Source organism: Homo sapiens, chromosome 13 (assembly GCF_000001405.40).
Source record: "Homo sapiens chromosome 13, GRCh38.p14 Primary Assembly".
NCBI classification, from domain to species: domain Eukaryota; kingdom Metazoa; phylum Chordata; class Mammalia; order Primates; family Hominidae; genus Homo; species Homo sapiens.
In genome coordinates, this window is record NC_000013.11 from 24,337,906 (window position 1) to 24,354,116 (window position 16,211).

Here is a 16,211-nt window from a genome sequence, read left to right on the forward strand (position 1 = left end):
TTGATGAAGGTAATCATGAGCTATTGTTTTTCACTCATAAAACTGGAGGTGAAAGACAAGGATTAACGTTTCTAGCGATGGTAAAGGTGTAAAAAGTATTTGGCTGCGCGGCTGGTGGTGAATAATTTTTACAACCTTCTCAGAAAACAATATGGAAACGTCCAGCACAAGCCAGCAGAGAAAGCCTGTTTGAGGCCTCTGCTGTGGATAGGGATGCCTGCCTGAACACAGGGGAATCATGTGCATCCATGCTAGCTGCAGTCATTTTGGTAATAGAAAAAAAAAAAAAAAGAATTAGAAGGGGAAGAAAAGAGAAGCACCTTAATTCTTCGCCGGCGGAGGAGATCTTGTTACACAGCAGCATCGCCCCACAGGGCAGAGGCCTCTGCAGCCATCAAAGAAAATGAGATCGAGCTAAGTGGGCCAACGTGGAAAGCTCCCGGGACATGGTGTTATATGTAAAAAGCAAGTTGCAGACAACGCATGAAATATGTATGATTCCATTTGTGAAAATGCAGCATCGCTAGAAAAAACTGTATATTTTATTTCGTATGTACACACAGTGTGTAGATCCATGTAAAGAAAGCAGTCCAGACGGTGGGGCGGGGTTGGAGATGCAGCCAGCCCTGCTTTGTGTCTAGATACTCTGGCATGCTTGGCGCCCCCATGCCCGAGGTCATGTGCTCCTGCCATAATTTAAACAAACGCCTGAACAGCAAAATGAAATTGGAATAGGCAGCTGGACGTGGTCTGGAGCGCAAGAGGAAGGTGCGGTGCGGTGAGAAGGGAGACCGCGCTAGACCAGGTGATGTCTTACTGAGAGGTGAAAATGTGCTAGCAGCCCTCCCTCGCTCTCAGCGCCTCCTCGGCCTCGGCGTCCACTCTGGCCTCGCTGGAGGAGCCCTTCAGCCCCCCACTGCACTATGAGGGCCCCTCTCTGGGGCTGCCCCTAGGCCGGGGCCGGGTCCCTCTGCTCGCGGGGAAGTTTGAAAAGAGAGGCGAAGGCGGGAACCGGGGCTGCGCGAGGCGTTCGCAGGCTGCGCGGGTTCCGGGTGGGCACGGGATCGGCGGGCCCCGCACTCACCGCGGCTGGCCGGCGCCTGCTGGGCTTGATTGGACGCTGGGTCTCGTGCATGGACCGCCCTTCCCTCTTCGCGGTGTCGTTGGCCACGATGGCGGGTCTCCTTCTGTTACTAGCTTCTCCTCTCTTCCTCTTGATTGGCTGGGAAGACCTCCCTCTGGGAAGCAGGAGTGCCTGGGACAGGTGCCGCAAAGTCCCGCCTGGACTGCGAGAGGTGAAGCCGGTTGCGCTTCTGGGTCCAGTGAGGACTTGGAGAACTTTTCTGTCTAGCTAAAGGATTGTAAACGCACCAATCAGCACTCTGTCAAAACGGACCAATCAGCTCTCTGTAAAATGGGCCAATCAGCTCTCTGTAAAATGGACCAATCAGCAGGATGTGGGTGGGGCCAGATAAGGGAATAAAAGCAGACCACGCAGACCAACAGCGGCAACCTGCTTGGGTCACTTTCTTGGGGGGGGGTGGGGGGGGGGGAGAGGAGGAGGGGTTTTTTTGGTTTTTTGAACTAAATGTTGTTATTCCTAGCACTTTGGGTCTGCACTAGGTTTGTGAGCTGTAATACTCACCAGGAAGGTTTGCAGTTTCACTGCTGAAGCCCTCAAGACCAGGAACCTAATGGGAGGAACAGACAGCTCTGGACGTGCTACCTTCTAAGAGCTGTAACACTCACCACGAAGGTCTGCAGCTGCATTCCTGAAGCCGGGGAGACCAGGAAGCCACCAGGAGGAACGAATAACTCCAGACATGCGGCGTTTAAGAGCTATAACACTCCTAGCGAAAGTCTGTAGCTTCGCTCGTGAGGTTAGTGTAGGCCACGAACCCACCAGAAGGAAGACACTTCGGAAACATCTGAACGTCTGAAGGAACGAACTCCGGACACGCCATTTTAAAAAACTAACACTCACTGCAAGGGTCCAGGGCTTCCTTCTTGAAGTCAGCGAGACCAAGAACTGACCAAATCCTGACACATAGGAATTGCAGAGGGGTGAGGCCCATGGCGGTGCTGAGGAGCGGTCCAGGAAGTATTGGTGAGAGGGATGGGGAGACCCAAGAGTGTAAGGTAAGGAAAAGGCCAGGGAAGCCGCAGACTTCCTGGAAGGTCCCGGGGCGAAGGCAGTGGGAAGGATGGGCCGGCGGCGCCATAAGAGGCTGGGGTGGCGTTGGGCAAGCGGCTCAGAGCTGCGGGGGAGCTCCAGCATCCCGGGAGCTGCTGAGGGAAGGGGAGGAGCAGGGCCTGGCTGGAAAGGGGGTGGGATGGGGAGAGCTGGGCTGTGTCGCTGCCCTGTCCCCGGAAAGAGGCGCCCCCCGGTAGCAGCGGGAGGAGCTGGGGGAGAAAAGGCTGTCACTCTCTAAGGAGTGGGGTGAGCGAGGCCGTGGTGGGGTGCTTAGTAGCCGAGGATGGGCCAAGTTGGAGGAGGAGAAGGTGCGGCGGTGCAGGAGCAGGCAGCGCCGTTCTCGCTGGGCCTGGGGTCCCGCAGCGCCTGGGACCGGAGCAGTGAGTGAGCGTGGGTGGGAGCTGCGGCCTGGGTCCCTGCGCCCGACTGCCCCGAAGGCAGGTGTGGTGGGGGGGTTGGGGGGGTGGGGGTGGGGTGTGAGGGGCGGGTGAGGCGCATTTCCAGGGGGAGTGAGTCCGGGGCCCTTGGCCTGTAGGCTAAGCAGCGAGGACAACAGCGAGGGGGCTCCGTGGCATTGCTTGGCGGGGTCACCGCGCATGCCTACTCGCTGTGGAGCCTGGGGACTCGCCAGCCACCGCGCGGGTTTACCACGGCCCACCAGGCTCCCGAGCCACCTACATAGAAGGGTGAGCTGTGGAGCGTGGTGAGCGGGCTGCCAGGCTCCTGCCGCTTAGGCCACCCTGAGCCAACGCTGCCCAGGTGGCATCCACAGCCGGTGGCCCGCGGGCCTGGGCATGAGACCCGCGCCTCAGCCCCGCCTGCCCCGCTGGGAGAGGTAAATGGACCGCACTTGGTTTACGCCGGTTAGAGTCTCAGATGCTTTGTTACAGGGGCACAAACTACCCTACCCCTACTGTGCGTGGGTGCGGGAGCCTTGGTCCATAAGGGAGCCATGTGGGCAATGGCTTAGGGTGGTTTAGGGTTCCTCAGAGACAGAGAACCAGCTGGAGACACACACACACACACACACCACACACACACACAAACACACAAACACACACACACACACACACACACACACACACACACACACACACAGAGTCCCGCCTGCATCTCAGTGATTCCAAGCACGGACCTCTCACATACGATCTATAGCCCGTAAGAAGAAAACGCAGCGGAAAGCCTCTATGGGTTAGTGACATCTCGATGGTCCTGATCTTGCGTGAGCCTAGGCTAATGTGTGTGTTCTTGCTTTACTTGTTAACAAAGTTTAAAAAGCAAAATACAAGCTTTTCTCAATTTTAGAATAAAGATCTTAAACATTTTTGTGCAGCTGTACTTTTTTATTACAGGAGTCAAAATGTTAAACTGTATAAAATACAGAAAAAAGTTTGAATACATTTAGTGTTTATAAAGGCTACAGTAGTGTACACTAATTCCTAGGCCTTCACAGTCACTCACGACTCACCCACAGCCACTTCCTGTCCTGCAAGCTCCATTCATGGTAAGAGCCCTGCACCAGTGTGCCACTTTTAATCTTGGCTATGCCATGTTTTTACTGTACCTTCTCTATATTGAGATATGGCATTACTTTCCATTGTGTCACAGCTGCCTGCCGTGTTTGTACAAGCCACCCTGTACAGGTTAGTAGCCTAGGAGACATAGGCTGCACCCTGTGGCCCAGGCATGTGGCAGGTGGTACTCTCCAGGTTTGTAAGTGACGTCTGAAGCAAGAGGACAAAATCGCCTAACCACACATTTCTCCAAACTCATCCCCATTAAGCAACAGGTGAGTGTGTGTGTGTGTGTGTATATATATATATATATGAAATTTATTACAGAAATTGACTCACAAGATTATAGAGGCCAAGAGGTCTGAAGACCCATAAGCTGGTGTCTGTGAGCTGGAAGGCCAGTGATGTGACTCCGTCTGAGTCTGAAGCCAGAGAAGGAGCAACACTGAGGTCCAGGGGCAGAAGTCAGCTGCTCCACCTCAAAAGGAGACAGAGAAGGTGTCCTGCCTCCGCCTTTCTCTTCTACCAGGGCCTTAGTTTAATTCAGTGATGGTGGATTAGATGATATTGGTGAGGGCAGATCTTCACCCAGCCTACCAGTTCAAATGCTAATCTCCTCTGGAGACGCCCTCACACCCACAAAGAATGTTTACCAGCTACCTAGGCTTCCCCTTAGCCCCGTCAAGTTGATGCATGAAAACCCCACCAGTCCACATTTTGTCAGCTTGGCATCCATACACATCTTCAACTATGTTTAATCTCCGAATAAAGACTGTAAGACCGGGGAGGAGCCAAGATGGCCGAATAGGAACAGCTCCAGTCTACAGCACCCAGTATGAGCCACACAGAGGACGGGTGATTTCTGCATTTCCAACTGAGCATTGAAGTGGGTAGTGGTTCTCCCAGCACGCAGCTTGAGATCTGAGAACGGGCAGACTATCTCCTCAAGTGGGTCACTGACCCCTGAGTAGCCTAACTGGGAGGCACCCCCCAGTAGGGGAGGACTGACACCTCACATGGCCGGGTACTCCTCTGAGACAAAACTTCCAGAGGAACGATCAGGGAGCAGCAGCATTTGCGGTTCACCAAAATCCGCTGTTCTGCAGCCACCGCTGCTGACACCCAGGCAAACAGGGTCTGGAGTGGACCTCTAGCAAACTCCAACAGACCTGCAGCTGAGGGTCCTGTCTGTTAGAAGGAAAACTAACAGAAAGGACATCCACACCAAAACCCCATCTGTACGTCACCATCATCAAAGACCAAAGGTAGATAAAACCACAAAGATGGGGAAAAAGGAGCAGAAAAACTGGAAACTAAAAATCAGAGTGCCACTCCTCCTCCAAAGGAATGCAGCTCCTCACCAGCAATGGAACAAAGCTGGACAGAGAATGACTTTGACGAGTTGAGAGAAGAAGGCTTCAGACGATCAAATTACTCCAAGCTACAGGAGGAAATTTGAACCAATGGCAAAGAAGTTAAAAGCTTTGAAAAAAAATTAGATGAATGGCTAACTAGAATAACCAATGCAGAGAAGTTTTCAAAGGACCTGATGGAGCTGAAAACCAAGGCATGAGAGCTACGTGATGAATGCAGAAACCTCAGTAGCCGATGCGATCAACTGGAAGAAAGGGTATCAGCGATGGAAGACGAAATGAATGAAATGAAGCGAGAAGAGAAGTTTAAAGAAAAAAAACGAACAAAGCCTTCAAGAAATATGGGACTATGTGAAAAGACCAAATCTATGTCTGATTGATGTACCTGAAAGTGATGGGGAGAATGGAACCAAGCTGGAAAACACTCTGCAGGATATTATCCAGGAGAACTTCCCCAGTCTAGCAAGGCAGGCCAACATTCAAATTCGGGAAATACAGAGAATGCCACAAAGATACTCCTCGAGAAGAGCAACTCCAGGACACATAATTGTCAGATTCACCGAAGTTGAAATGAAGGAAAAAATGTTAAGGGCAGACAGAGAGAAAGGTTGGGTTACCCACAAATGGAAGCCCATCAGACTAACAGTGGACCTCTCAGCAGAAACTCTACAAGCCAGAAGAGAGTGAGGACTAATATTCAACATTCTTAAAGAAAAGAATTTTCAACCCAGAATTTCATATCCAGCCAAAATAAGCTTCAGAAGTGGAGAAATAAAATAATTTACAGACAAGCAAATGCTGAGAGATTTTGTCACCACCAGCCCTGCCCTAAAAGAGCTCCAGAAGGAAGCACTAAACATGGAAAGGAATAACCAGTACCAGGCACGGCAAAAACATGCCAAATTGTAAAGGCCATCAAGGCTAGAAAGAAACTGCATTAACTAATGAGCAAAATAACCAGCTAACATCATAATGACAGGATCAAATTCACACATAACAATATTAACTTTAAATGTAAATGGGCTAAATGCTCCAATTAAAAGACAGACTGGCAAATTGGATAAAGAGTCAAGACCCATCAGTGTGCTGTATTCAGGAAACCCATCTCACGTGCAGGGACACATAGACTCAAAGGGATGGAGGAAGATCTACGAAGCAATTGGAAAACAAAAAGAGGCAGGGGTTGCAATCCTAGTCTCTGATAAAACAGACTTTAAACCAACAAAGATCAAAAGAGACAAGGCCATTACATAATCGTAAGGGGATCAATTCAACAAGAAGAGCTAACTATTCTAAATATATATGCACCCAATACAGGAGCACCCAGATTCATAAAGCAAGTCCTTAGTGACCTACAAAGAGACTTAGACTCCCACACAATAATAATGGGAGACTTTAACACCCCACTGTCAACATTAGACAGATCAACAAGACAGAAAGTTAACAAGGACACCCAGGAATTGAACTCAGCTCTGCACCAAGCGGACCTAATAGACATCTACAGAACTCTCCACCCCAAATCAACAGAATATACATTCTTTTCAGCACCACACCACACCTACTCCAAAATTGACCACATAGTTGGAAGTAAAGCACTCCTCAGCAAATGTAAAAGAACAGAAATTATAACAAACTGTCTCTCAGACCACAGTGCAATCAAACTAGAACTCAGGATTAAGAAACTCACTCAAAACCGCTCAACTACATGGCAACTGAACAACCTGCTCCTGAATGACTACTGGGTAAATAATGAAATGAAGGCAGAAGTAAAGATGTTCTTTGAAACCAACGAGAACAAAAACACAACATACCAGAATCTCTGGGACACATTCAAAGCAGTGTGTAGAGGGAAATTTATAGCACTAAATGCCCACAAGAGAAAGCAGGAAAGATCTAAAGTTGACACCCTAACATCACAATTAAAAGAACTAGAAAAGCAAGAGCAAACATATTCAAAAGCTAGCAGAAGGCAAGAAATAACTAAGATCAGAGCAGAACTGAAGGAAATAGAGACATAAAAAACCCTTCAAAAAATTAATGAATCCAGGAGCTGGTTTTTTGAAAAGATCAACAAAATGGATAAGACTGCTAGCAAGACTAATAAAGAAGAAAAGAGAGAAGAATCAAATAGACTCAAAAAAAATGATAAAGGGGATATCATCACCGATCCCACAGAAATACAAACGACCATCAGGGAATACTGTAAACACCTCTATGCAAATAAACTAGAAAATCTAGAAGAAATGGATAAATTCCTCAACACATACATCCTCCCAAGACTAAAGCAGGAATAAGTTGAATCTCTGAATAGACCAATAGCAGGTGCTGAAATTGAGGCAATAATCAATAGCTTACCAACCAAAAAAAGTTCAGGACTAGATGGATTCACAGCCGAATTCTACCAGAGGTACCAAGAGGAGCTGGTACCATTCCTTCTGAAACTATTCCAATCCATAGAAAAAGAGGGAAGCCTCCCTAACTCATTTTATCAGGCCAGCATTATCCTGATACCAAAGCCGGGCAGAGACACAACCAAAAAAGAGAATTTTAGACCAATATCCTTGATGAACATCGATGCAAAAATCCTCAATAAAATACTGGCAAACCGAATCCAGCAGCACATCAAAAAGCTTATCCACCATGATCAAGTGGGCTTCATCCCTGGGATGCAAGGCTGGTTCAACATACACAAATCAATAAACGTAATCCAGCATATAAACAGAACCAAAGATAAAAACTACATGATTATCTCAATAGATGTAGAAAAGGCCTTTGACAAAATTCAACAACCTTCATGCTAAAAACTCTCAATAAATTAGGTATTGATGGGACGTATCTCAAAATAATAAGAGCTATCTATGACAAACCCACAGCCAATATCATACTGAATGGGCAAAAACTGGAAGCATTCCCTTTGAAAACTGGCACAAGACAGGGATGCCATCTCTCACCACTCCTATTCAACATGGTGTTGGAAGTTCTGGCCAGGGCAATCAGGCAGGAGAAGGAAATAAAGGGTATTCAATTAGGAAAAAAGGAAATCAAATTGTCCCTGTTTGCAGATGACATGATTGTATATCTAGAAAACCCCATCGTTTCAGCCCAGAATCTCCTCAAGCTGATAAGCAACTTCAGCAAAGTCTCAGGATACAAAATCAGTGTACAAAAATCACAAGCATTCTTATACACCAATAACAAACAGAGAGCCAAATCATGAGTGAACTCCCATTCACAATTGCTTCAAAGAGAATAAAATACCTAGCAATCCAACTTACAAGGGATGTGAAGGACCTCTTCAAGGAGAACTACAAACCACTGCTCAAGAAAATAAAAGAGGATACAAACAAATGGAAGAACATTCCATGCTCATGGGTAGGAAGAATCAATATCATGAAAATGGCCATACTGCCCAAGGTAATTTATAGATTCAATGCCATCCCCATCAAGCAACCAATGACTTTCTTCACAGAATTGGAAAAAAACTACTTTAAAGTTCACATGGAACCAAAAAAGAGCCTGCATTGCCAAGTCAATCCTAAGCCAAAAGAACAAAGCTGGAGGCATCACACTACCTGACTTCAAACTATACTACAAGGCTACAGTAACCAAAACAGCCTGGTACTGATACCAAAACAAAGATATAGACCAATGGAACAGAACAGAGCCCTCAGAAATAATGCCACATATCTACAACTATCTGATCTTTGACAAACCTGAGAAAAACAAACAATGGGGAAAGGATTCTCTATTTCATAAATGGTGCTGGGAAAACTGGTTAGCCATATGTAGAAAGCTGAAACTGGATCCCTTCCTTACACCTTATACAAAAATTAATTGAAGATGGATTAAAGACTTTAATGTTAGACCTAAAACCATAAAAACCCTAGAAGAAAACCTAGGCAATAGCTTTCAGGACATAGGCATGGGGCAAGGACTTCATGTCTAAAACACCAAAAGCAATGGCAACAAAAGCCAAAATTGACAAATGGGATCTAATTAAACTAAAGAGCTTCTGCACAGCAAAAGAAACCACCATCAGAGTGAACAGGCAACCTACAGAATGGGAGAAAATTTTTGCAACCTACTCATCTGACCAAGGGCTAATATCCAGAATCTACAATGAACTCAAACAAATTTATAAGAAGAAAACAACCCCATCAAAAAGTGGGCGAAGGATGTGAACAGACACTTCTCAAAAGAAGACATTTATGCAGCCAAAAAACACATGAAAAAATGCTCATCATCACTGGCCATCAGAGAAATGCACATCAAAACCACGATGAGATACTATCTCACACCAGTTAGAATGGCAATCATTAAAAAGTCAGGAAACAACAGGTGCTGGAGAGGATGTGGAGAAATAGGAACACTTTTACACTGTTGGTGGGACTGTAAACTAGTTCAACCATTGTGGAAGTCAGTGTGGCGATTCCTCAGGGATCTAGAACTAGAAATACCATTTGACCCAGCCATCCCATTACTGGGTATATACCCAAAGGATTATACATCATGCTGCTATAAAGACACATGCACACGTATGTTTATAGTGGCACTATTCACAATAGCAAGGACTTGGAACCAACCTAAATGTCCAACAACATTAGACTGGATTAAGAAAATGTGGCACATATACACCATGGAATACTATGCAGCCATAAAAAATGATGAGTTCATGTCCTTTGTAGGGACATAGATGAAACTGGAAACCATCATTCTCAGCAAACTATTGCAAGGACAAAAAACAAACACCACATGTTCTCACTCATAGGTAGGAATTGAACAATGAGAACACATGGACACAGGAAGGGGAACATCACACACCAGGGACTGTTGTTGGGGGGGTGGAGGGGGGAGGGATAGCATTAGGAGATATACCTAATGCTAAATGACGAGTTAATGGGTGCAGCACACCAACATGGCAAATGTATACATATGTGACGAACCTGCACGTTGTGCACATGTACCCTAAAACTTAAAGTATAATAATAGTAAAATTTAAAAAAAATAGAATATTTAAAGGATTGTGTAGAAAAAGTTTTTAAAGAAATCGTTAAATAAAAAGGAAGCTGGGTTACAACTTAAAAAAAAAAAGATGATAAGACCACAGTTCTGCCTAATATGATACAACTATCCTACATACAACCAAAAGCACACCAATTTCTTCCCCAAAAGAGCTGGAAAAGTCCTTGAGTGATAGTCACTTTTCTCCTGATGTCCCATAACATGAATACCAAGATGTAAAAGTAACAGTGCTTAAATACTGATGTGAAGTTGTTACATGTTATGCTACATGATAAGGAGATAAGAGAAAAGAAAAATATACTTGGTTAATATATGTATATATTCACACAAAAAGTCACTAAACAGGAAATTCTGACAATGACAGTTCTTATTTCTGCCGCCGGCCATGTAGTTGTCGCTGGCATTAATAACCACCTTCTTGCACCACCCAGTCCACATCCCTTTGCCCTTAGCAAGTGCTGCAGCTGACTATTGTTCTTTACTGGTGGAGTGACCCCAAACCTTCATTCTTGAAGGGTCTGGGCCATTAGAGGTCCTGCCTGAATTGTATTATTGTGGTTTCCAGTGACTAATCACAGAGCATGGCAGGGCCAAGAGATGCCTGAGGATCTCCTGTCTCCCAGACACGCTCTTCCTTCCCTCCATGGTGGAGCACAATCCAGTCTCCCCTCAGTCTGATCAATCACCCCGGCCAGTGCTGTTATTCCCCTCTCAGCCTGCTGATTCTGAGGCTTGAGGACCCCAAAATGGCATATTAACTTACAATTCAATGGAAACACTGTTGTGTCTCCTGGTTGAAGCATTTCTGCCTCTGGAACTAAGACCCCTAGGCCAGCAGAATACAAAATTGCAGGAAGAGGAAATAAAAATGTTGCCAGTGAGTCACTAGGGGTAATAGTGGTGACACTCCCGTATCCACCCCTTGATTCCTGAACCCGTGAGTCCTGGCCATGGGAGAACAAGCAGCATGTATTAGTCACTGATTCAGGGCATCTGTGGCCTTCTGGAGCACCTGGTCCCAGCCCTGCAAGGTATTGCCATCGAGTTGGTGCTGTAATTGAGCCTCAAAAGGCCAATCCACCATTCTATCACACCAGCTGCAAGGATGGTGAGCACATATCAGGACCAGTGAGTCCCAGGGGCATTGTTGCACTTCTTTGGCTGTGAAGTGAGCTCCTCGATCAGAAGCAGTGCAGTGTGGAACACTGTAACAGTGGATGAGGCATTCTGTAAGTCCATGGGTGGTGGTTTTTCCAGTAAGGACAAACCTCTGCCCCTTCCATGCTGGAAGCCATCCAATGTAATCAACCTGCCCCAGGTAGCTTCCTGATAGCCTGGGAATGGTGCCATATCAAGGGCTGTGTGTTGGTCTCTGCTGCTGGCAGATTAGGCAGTCAGCAGTGGCCGAGCCAGGTAGGCCTTCGTGAGTGGGAGTCCATGTTTCTGAGCCCATATACTACCTCCATCCCTGCCACCATGGCCACTTTGTTTATGAGCTCATCATTGCGTGATGACAGGGGTGGCTTGGGCAAGAGGCTAACCAGTGTCCACAGAATGGGTCATCCTATCCACTTGATTACTAAAACCCTTCTCTGCTGTGTTCATTCATTGCTGACCATTCACATAGGATAGACATATCTTCATGATTTTTGCCCATTCTGAGAGGCCTATCCACATATCTTTTCCCCAAATATCTTCGCCACCAATTTTTCCAATTGTTCTTTCCATGTCCCTGACCACCCAGCATAAGCATTGAGCACAGCTGGTGAAATAGTCCATCACTGCACAAATGGCCACTGCTCCTTCCAAGCAAAGCACACAGCCAGGTACACTGCCCGCAGCTCTGCCCAGGAGGACTTCCCTTCCCCACTATCCTTCAGAGATGTCCCAGGGAGGGGCTGTAGTTCTGCAGCATCCATTTTCAGGTGGTGTCTGCATATGGGGCAGAGCCGTCTGTAAACCAGGCCTGAGTCATCTCTTCCTCTGTCAGATATCATAGGGACCTCCCCAGGAGGTTACAGGCTCAGGCTAGGAGAGAGGGTCTCAGCTGAGAAAGGCGGTGGGGCAGGAGTGGGGACCATAGGCACTTGGACCACTTCTTCATGTAAACTACTTGAGCATTCAGGGGCTGGTTGGGCCTAATCACATACATACCACTTCCATTTGATGACAGAGTGTTGCTGTGCACACCTAACTGTATGGCTTGTTGGGTCAGATAACACCCTCTGACACCACCCTCTGACACATAGACATCTCACCAATAAATGTAGAATAGTTGTTACTTCTTGCTCACTAAGTCCAATCAGCATAATGTCATCAATGTAATGCATCAGTGTGACATCTCATGGAAGGGAAAAGCAACCAAGATTCCTGCAGACTAAATTATAATGTAGGGCTGGAGAGTTGATGGGACACTCCCTGAGGTGGGACAGTGAATGTGTATTGCTGGCCTTGCCAGCTGAAAGAAAATTGCTTCTGGTCATCCTTCCAGGAATGTGGGATTGTTTTTGACTTACAGTAGTCACCCCTTATCCCTGGTTTCACTTTCCACATTTTAAGTTACCTGTTGCACAGTACAAGATATTTTGAGAGAGAGAAATCACATTTGCATAGCTTTTATTGCAGTATATTCTTCTAGTTGTTTGATTTTATTATTGTTGATAGTCTCCTACTGTGCCAAATTTATGAATTTAACTTTATCATCGGTATGTATGTATCAAAAAAAACATAGTATAGCTAGGCTTTGGTGGTTTATATATCCATAGTTTCAGGCATCCACTGGGGTCTCAGAACATATATCCTGCAGACAACGGGGGGCTACTGCATTATTTTCCCAGGTTAAAGCAGTTCTAGTGGCTTCTGCTTGGTCTTCTTCACTGTAATAGTCCTTACTCCACAGGTCAGGGACCCAGTGTGTAGATGCTACCAGCTCCTCAGTATGCCTCTTCCAATTATGCATTCTGGAATGGGAAAATAACTACAGGATGGGTTTGGGGACCCACTTGACCCACTGTAAAATGAACCTGAGCTAAAACTCCATTGATCATTGAGCTCCATAAGCCCCTACTCTGCCTGGATGGCCACAGTGTCCTTTTCAATCTTCTGGAGTCAATGTCAGTGCAGATCCAGTGTCCAGTAGTCTCTGAAAGGTCTGAATATTCCCTTTTCCCCAGTGCACAGTTACCCTAGTAAAAGGTAAGGTAGGTCCCTTTGGAGGAGGCTGGGGAAAAGATTAAGAGTGTACATTTTGGGTAGTGTACCAGGGTTGTTTTCCAAGGGGACATTGTTTTCCCTTCATTCACGAGTTCTGAGTCTGTAAATCGGCTCAGGTCTGAGAATTGATTGAGGGGCCATAACTCTCTGCTTTGAGAGTAATGATTTTATTATTTGAATTTGACTTTTGTTTTTAGAGACTGGGTCTCATTATGTCACCTAGGCTAGAGTGCAGTAATGTGATCATAGCTCACTGCAGCCTCAAATTCCCAGGCTCAACAGATCCCCCTGCCTCGACCTCCTGAGTTGCTGGGACCACAGGCATGTGCTGCTATGCCCAGATTTGACTTAGACTTTTATTCACTTGACCTAAAACTTTCCTGCTTATACAGATCACGGCTTCTGATCAAATCCCCTTCCAGGAGCCCCATAATAATGGGCCAGAGCCATGAGTCTCATGAGCCAGGCTATTCTGATTGCTGCTGTGCCAATCCTGCCTATTGCTATACTTGCACCCGACTCACTGTGGCCTCCCCAATGGCTGGATCCAGTTGCTTCCCTTGCACTTAGGTTTCCAGCTGAGTGGCTGTGGTTCCCACCATAAGGTCTGACCTACAGAGAAGAGTTATGGCAGAGCTCTTCAAGGAAGCTGGGGCTCCCTCACACAGTTCTTTCTCAAGGTATTGGTGAAAGGCTGTCTTCCAGACCCCCCAGTGTGGGTGAGTAGGTCTGAAATGACAAACCCACTCTAACACATCAGCTTCCCTAGCCCTTTAAGCTTCCTGTATATTAAACCAGGGGAGATTGGATCTTTCCAGTTTGCTCATGGCAGGGCAGACTATCTTTTGACCCCTGTTCAGCCATCCAACCAAACTTCGCCCTTTCTAACTCACTGAGCTGCAACTTTAAATCCACAATCTCTGCTTAGTGAGCCCATATCAATAAATTTGACCTGATCCAACTTTATGTTCCTTCCACTACCATCTCACATCCTTAATATTCATTCTCACCCATGTCCCCTGGATTTCTGCTTGTATAAATCAGAAAACCCATGTTGTTCTTTTGGAGTGCAGCATAACTGCTTGTGACTCACAGTTTGTCCCTCACCTTTGGGGGTCTGCTGGGCTTGGGTCTAGTTATAGGTCTAGAGGCAAAGAAGGGTGGTGATCTGGGTCCTGAAAAGAATCAGCATTATCCCACTTTGCCACCACCTCGAGGAAGATATGACTCAGGATGCAGGGAACTCCCTCAAATCAGGTGGAAAGGCTATACCAGTGTTGGCAGGGATGCTGCCGCCACTGGGGATGTGAAGGCCCCTTTGGTTGAGTGTGGTGGGACCTCTTCCACTGGCAAAGAATACATCAGAATTTAAGGCCTTGATACCCCCGGCTTCATCAGGTCTTCCCACATGTCCCCATTCCATCTTACAGTTTCTCATTCTTTCCCAATTTCACCACTTAAGAGTAGACACCCTAGGAGACCGGGAGCTCAACTTGCATTGTATTAATAATTTGGCCAATTGCAGGATGAGGTCCTGAGTTTGATTTTCAGATACTTCAGCCCTGTGGTTGTATGAAATAAGGCTCTCTGGGAACACATAGAAGCTCTTAGGTCACTTTTGTGGCTCTTGAGCTGGGAATTTCAATCCCTGAGCTCATCTTTTTCTTTTACCACTTTGTGCAATGATATTAAAAGCAACCAATGTCATTATATTCCTCAGTTTTCCTAAAATGTTCAAAAGTATGATATACAGAGTCATGTAGCTTCTTGCTTCTTATAAGTGGTTTATTAGGAGGATCCAATGCAGATATTTTGCATATCTGTATAGTTTATGCCATGGATGATCAGTGCTCTCTTTACTACTGGAAATAGAATCGTTAGTGTCTTCACATATAGTCAGATTAAAGATCCAATTCCAGAAACTCCAGAAAGAATTCAGAAAACTCATCCTCAAAATTCTGGTCCTCTAGATCCACTCTTGGTACCAAAATCTATATTAGTCAGAGTTCTACAAAGAAACAGACTCAATAGAATAGATAGATAGATAGATAGATAAATAGATAGATATAGATATATATCAATAGATATATATGTCTATAGAATATATGTATCAATAGTATATATATATCAATAGAATAGATAGATAGATAGATAGATAGATAGATAGATAGATAGATAGATAGATTTATTATAGGAACTATGTAGTTATGGAGGACAAGAAGTCCCACAGTCTGCCATCTGCCAGCTGGAGACCCAGGAAAGTCAATGGTGTTCTTCGATCTGAGTCCAAAGACTGGAGAACCAGAAGCACCAATGTTCGATGGCAGAAGAGGATGGATGTCCCAGCTAAAAAAGAAAGTGAATTCACCCTTCCTCAGCCTTTTTGTTCTATTCAGGCCCTCCATGGATTAAGTGATGCTTGCTCACTTTGAGGAGGGCAGGTCTGTACGCAGTCCACTGACTCAAATGTTAATCTCTTCCAGAGACCCCCTCACAGACACATCCAGAAATGACATTTTATCAGCTATCTAGGCAACCCTTCCTTAGTGCAGTCAAGTTGACACCTAAAATTAAACATCATAAGCAGGGAAGATGGTGTGGGAGGTGAGATGTATGTCTGTGAGCAGAAGCTGGGTGGGTCTCTGCATGAACATGTAGGTACGGGTGCAAGCATGTGGGAGCTGCTGGTGGCAAAACTCAACAGAAGCAACTCATATTTAGGAAGTGAATCAGATGTCACATCCTCTGAGCCTGTGATATTTCATGATCTGGCACAATAAAAGGCTCTCAGAGCAGGTTGTATAATAAAAAGCTAAATTTTCCAATGGTTTTTGGAAGAATGTAACTTCTGACTTTTAACAAAAAACAGAAACAAACACTTTCTTTCACAGTTAG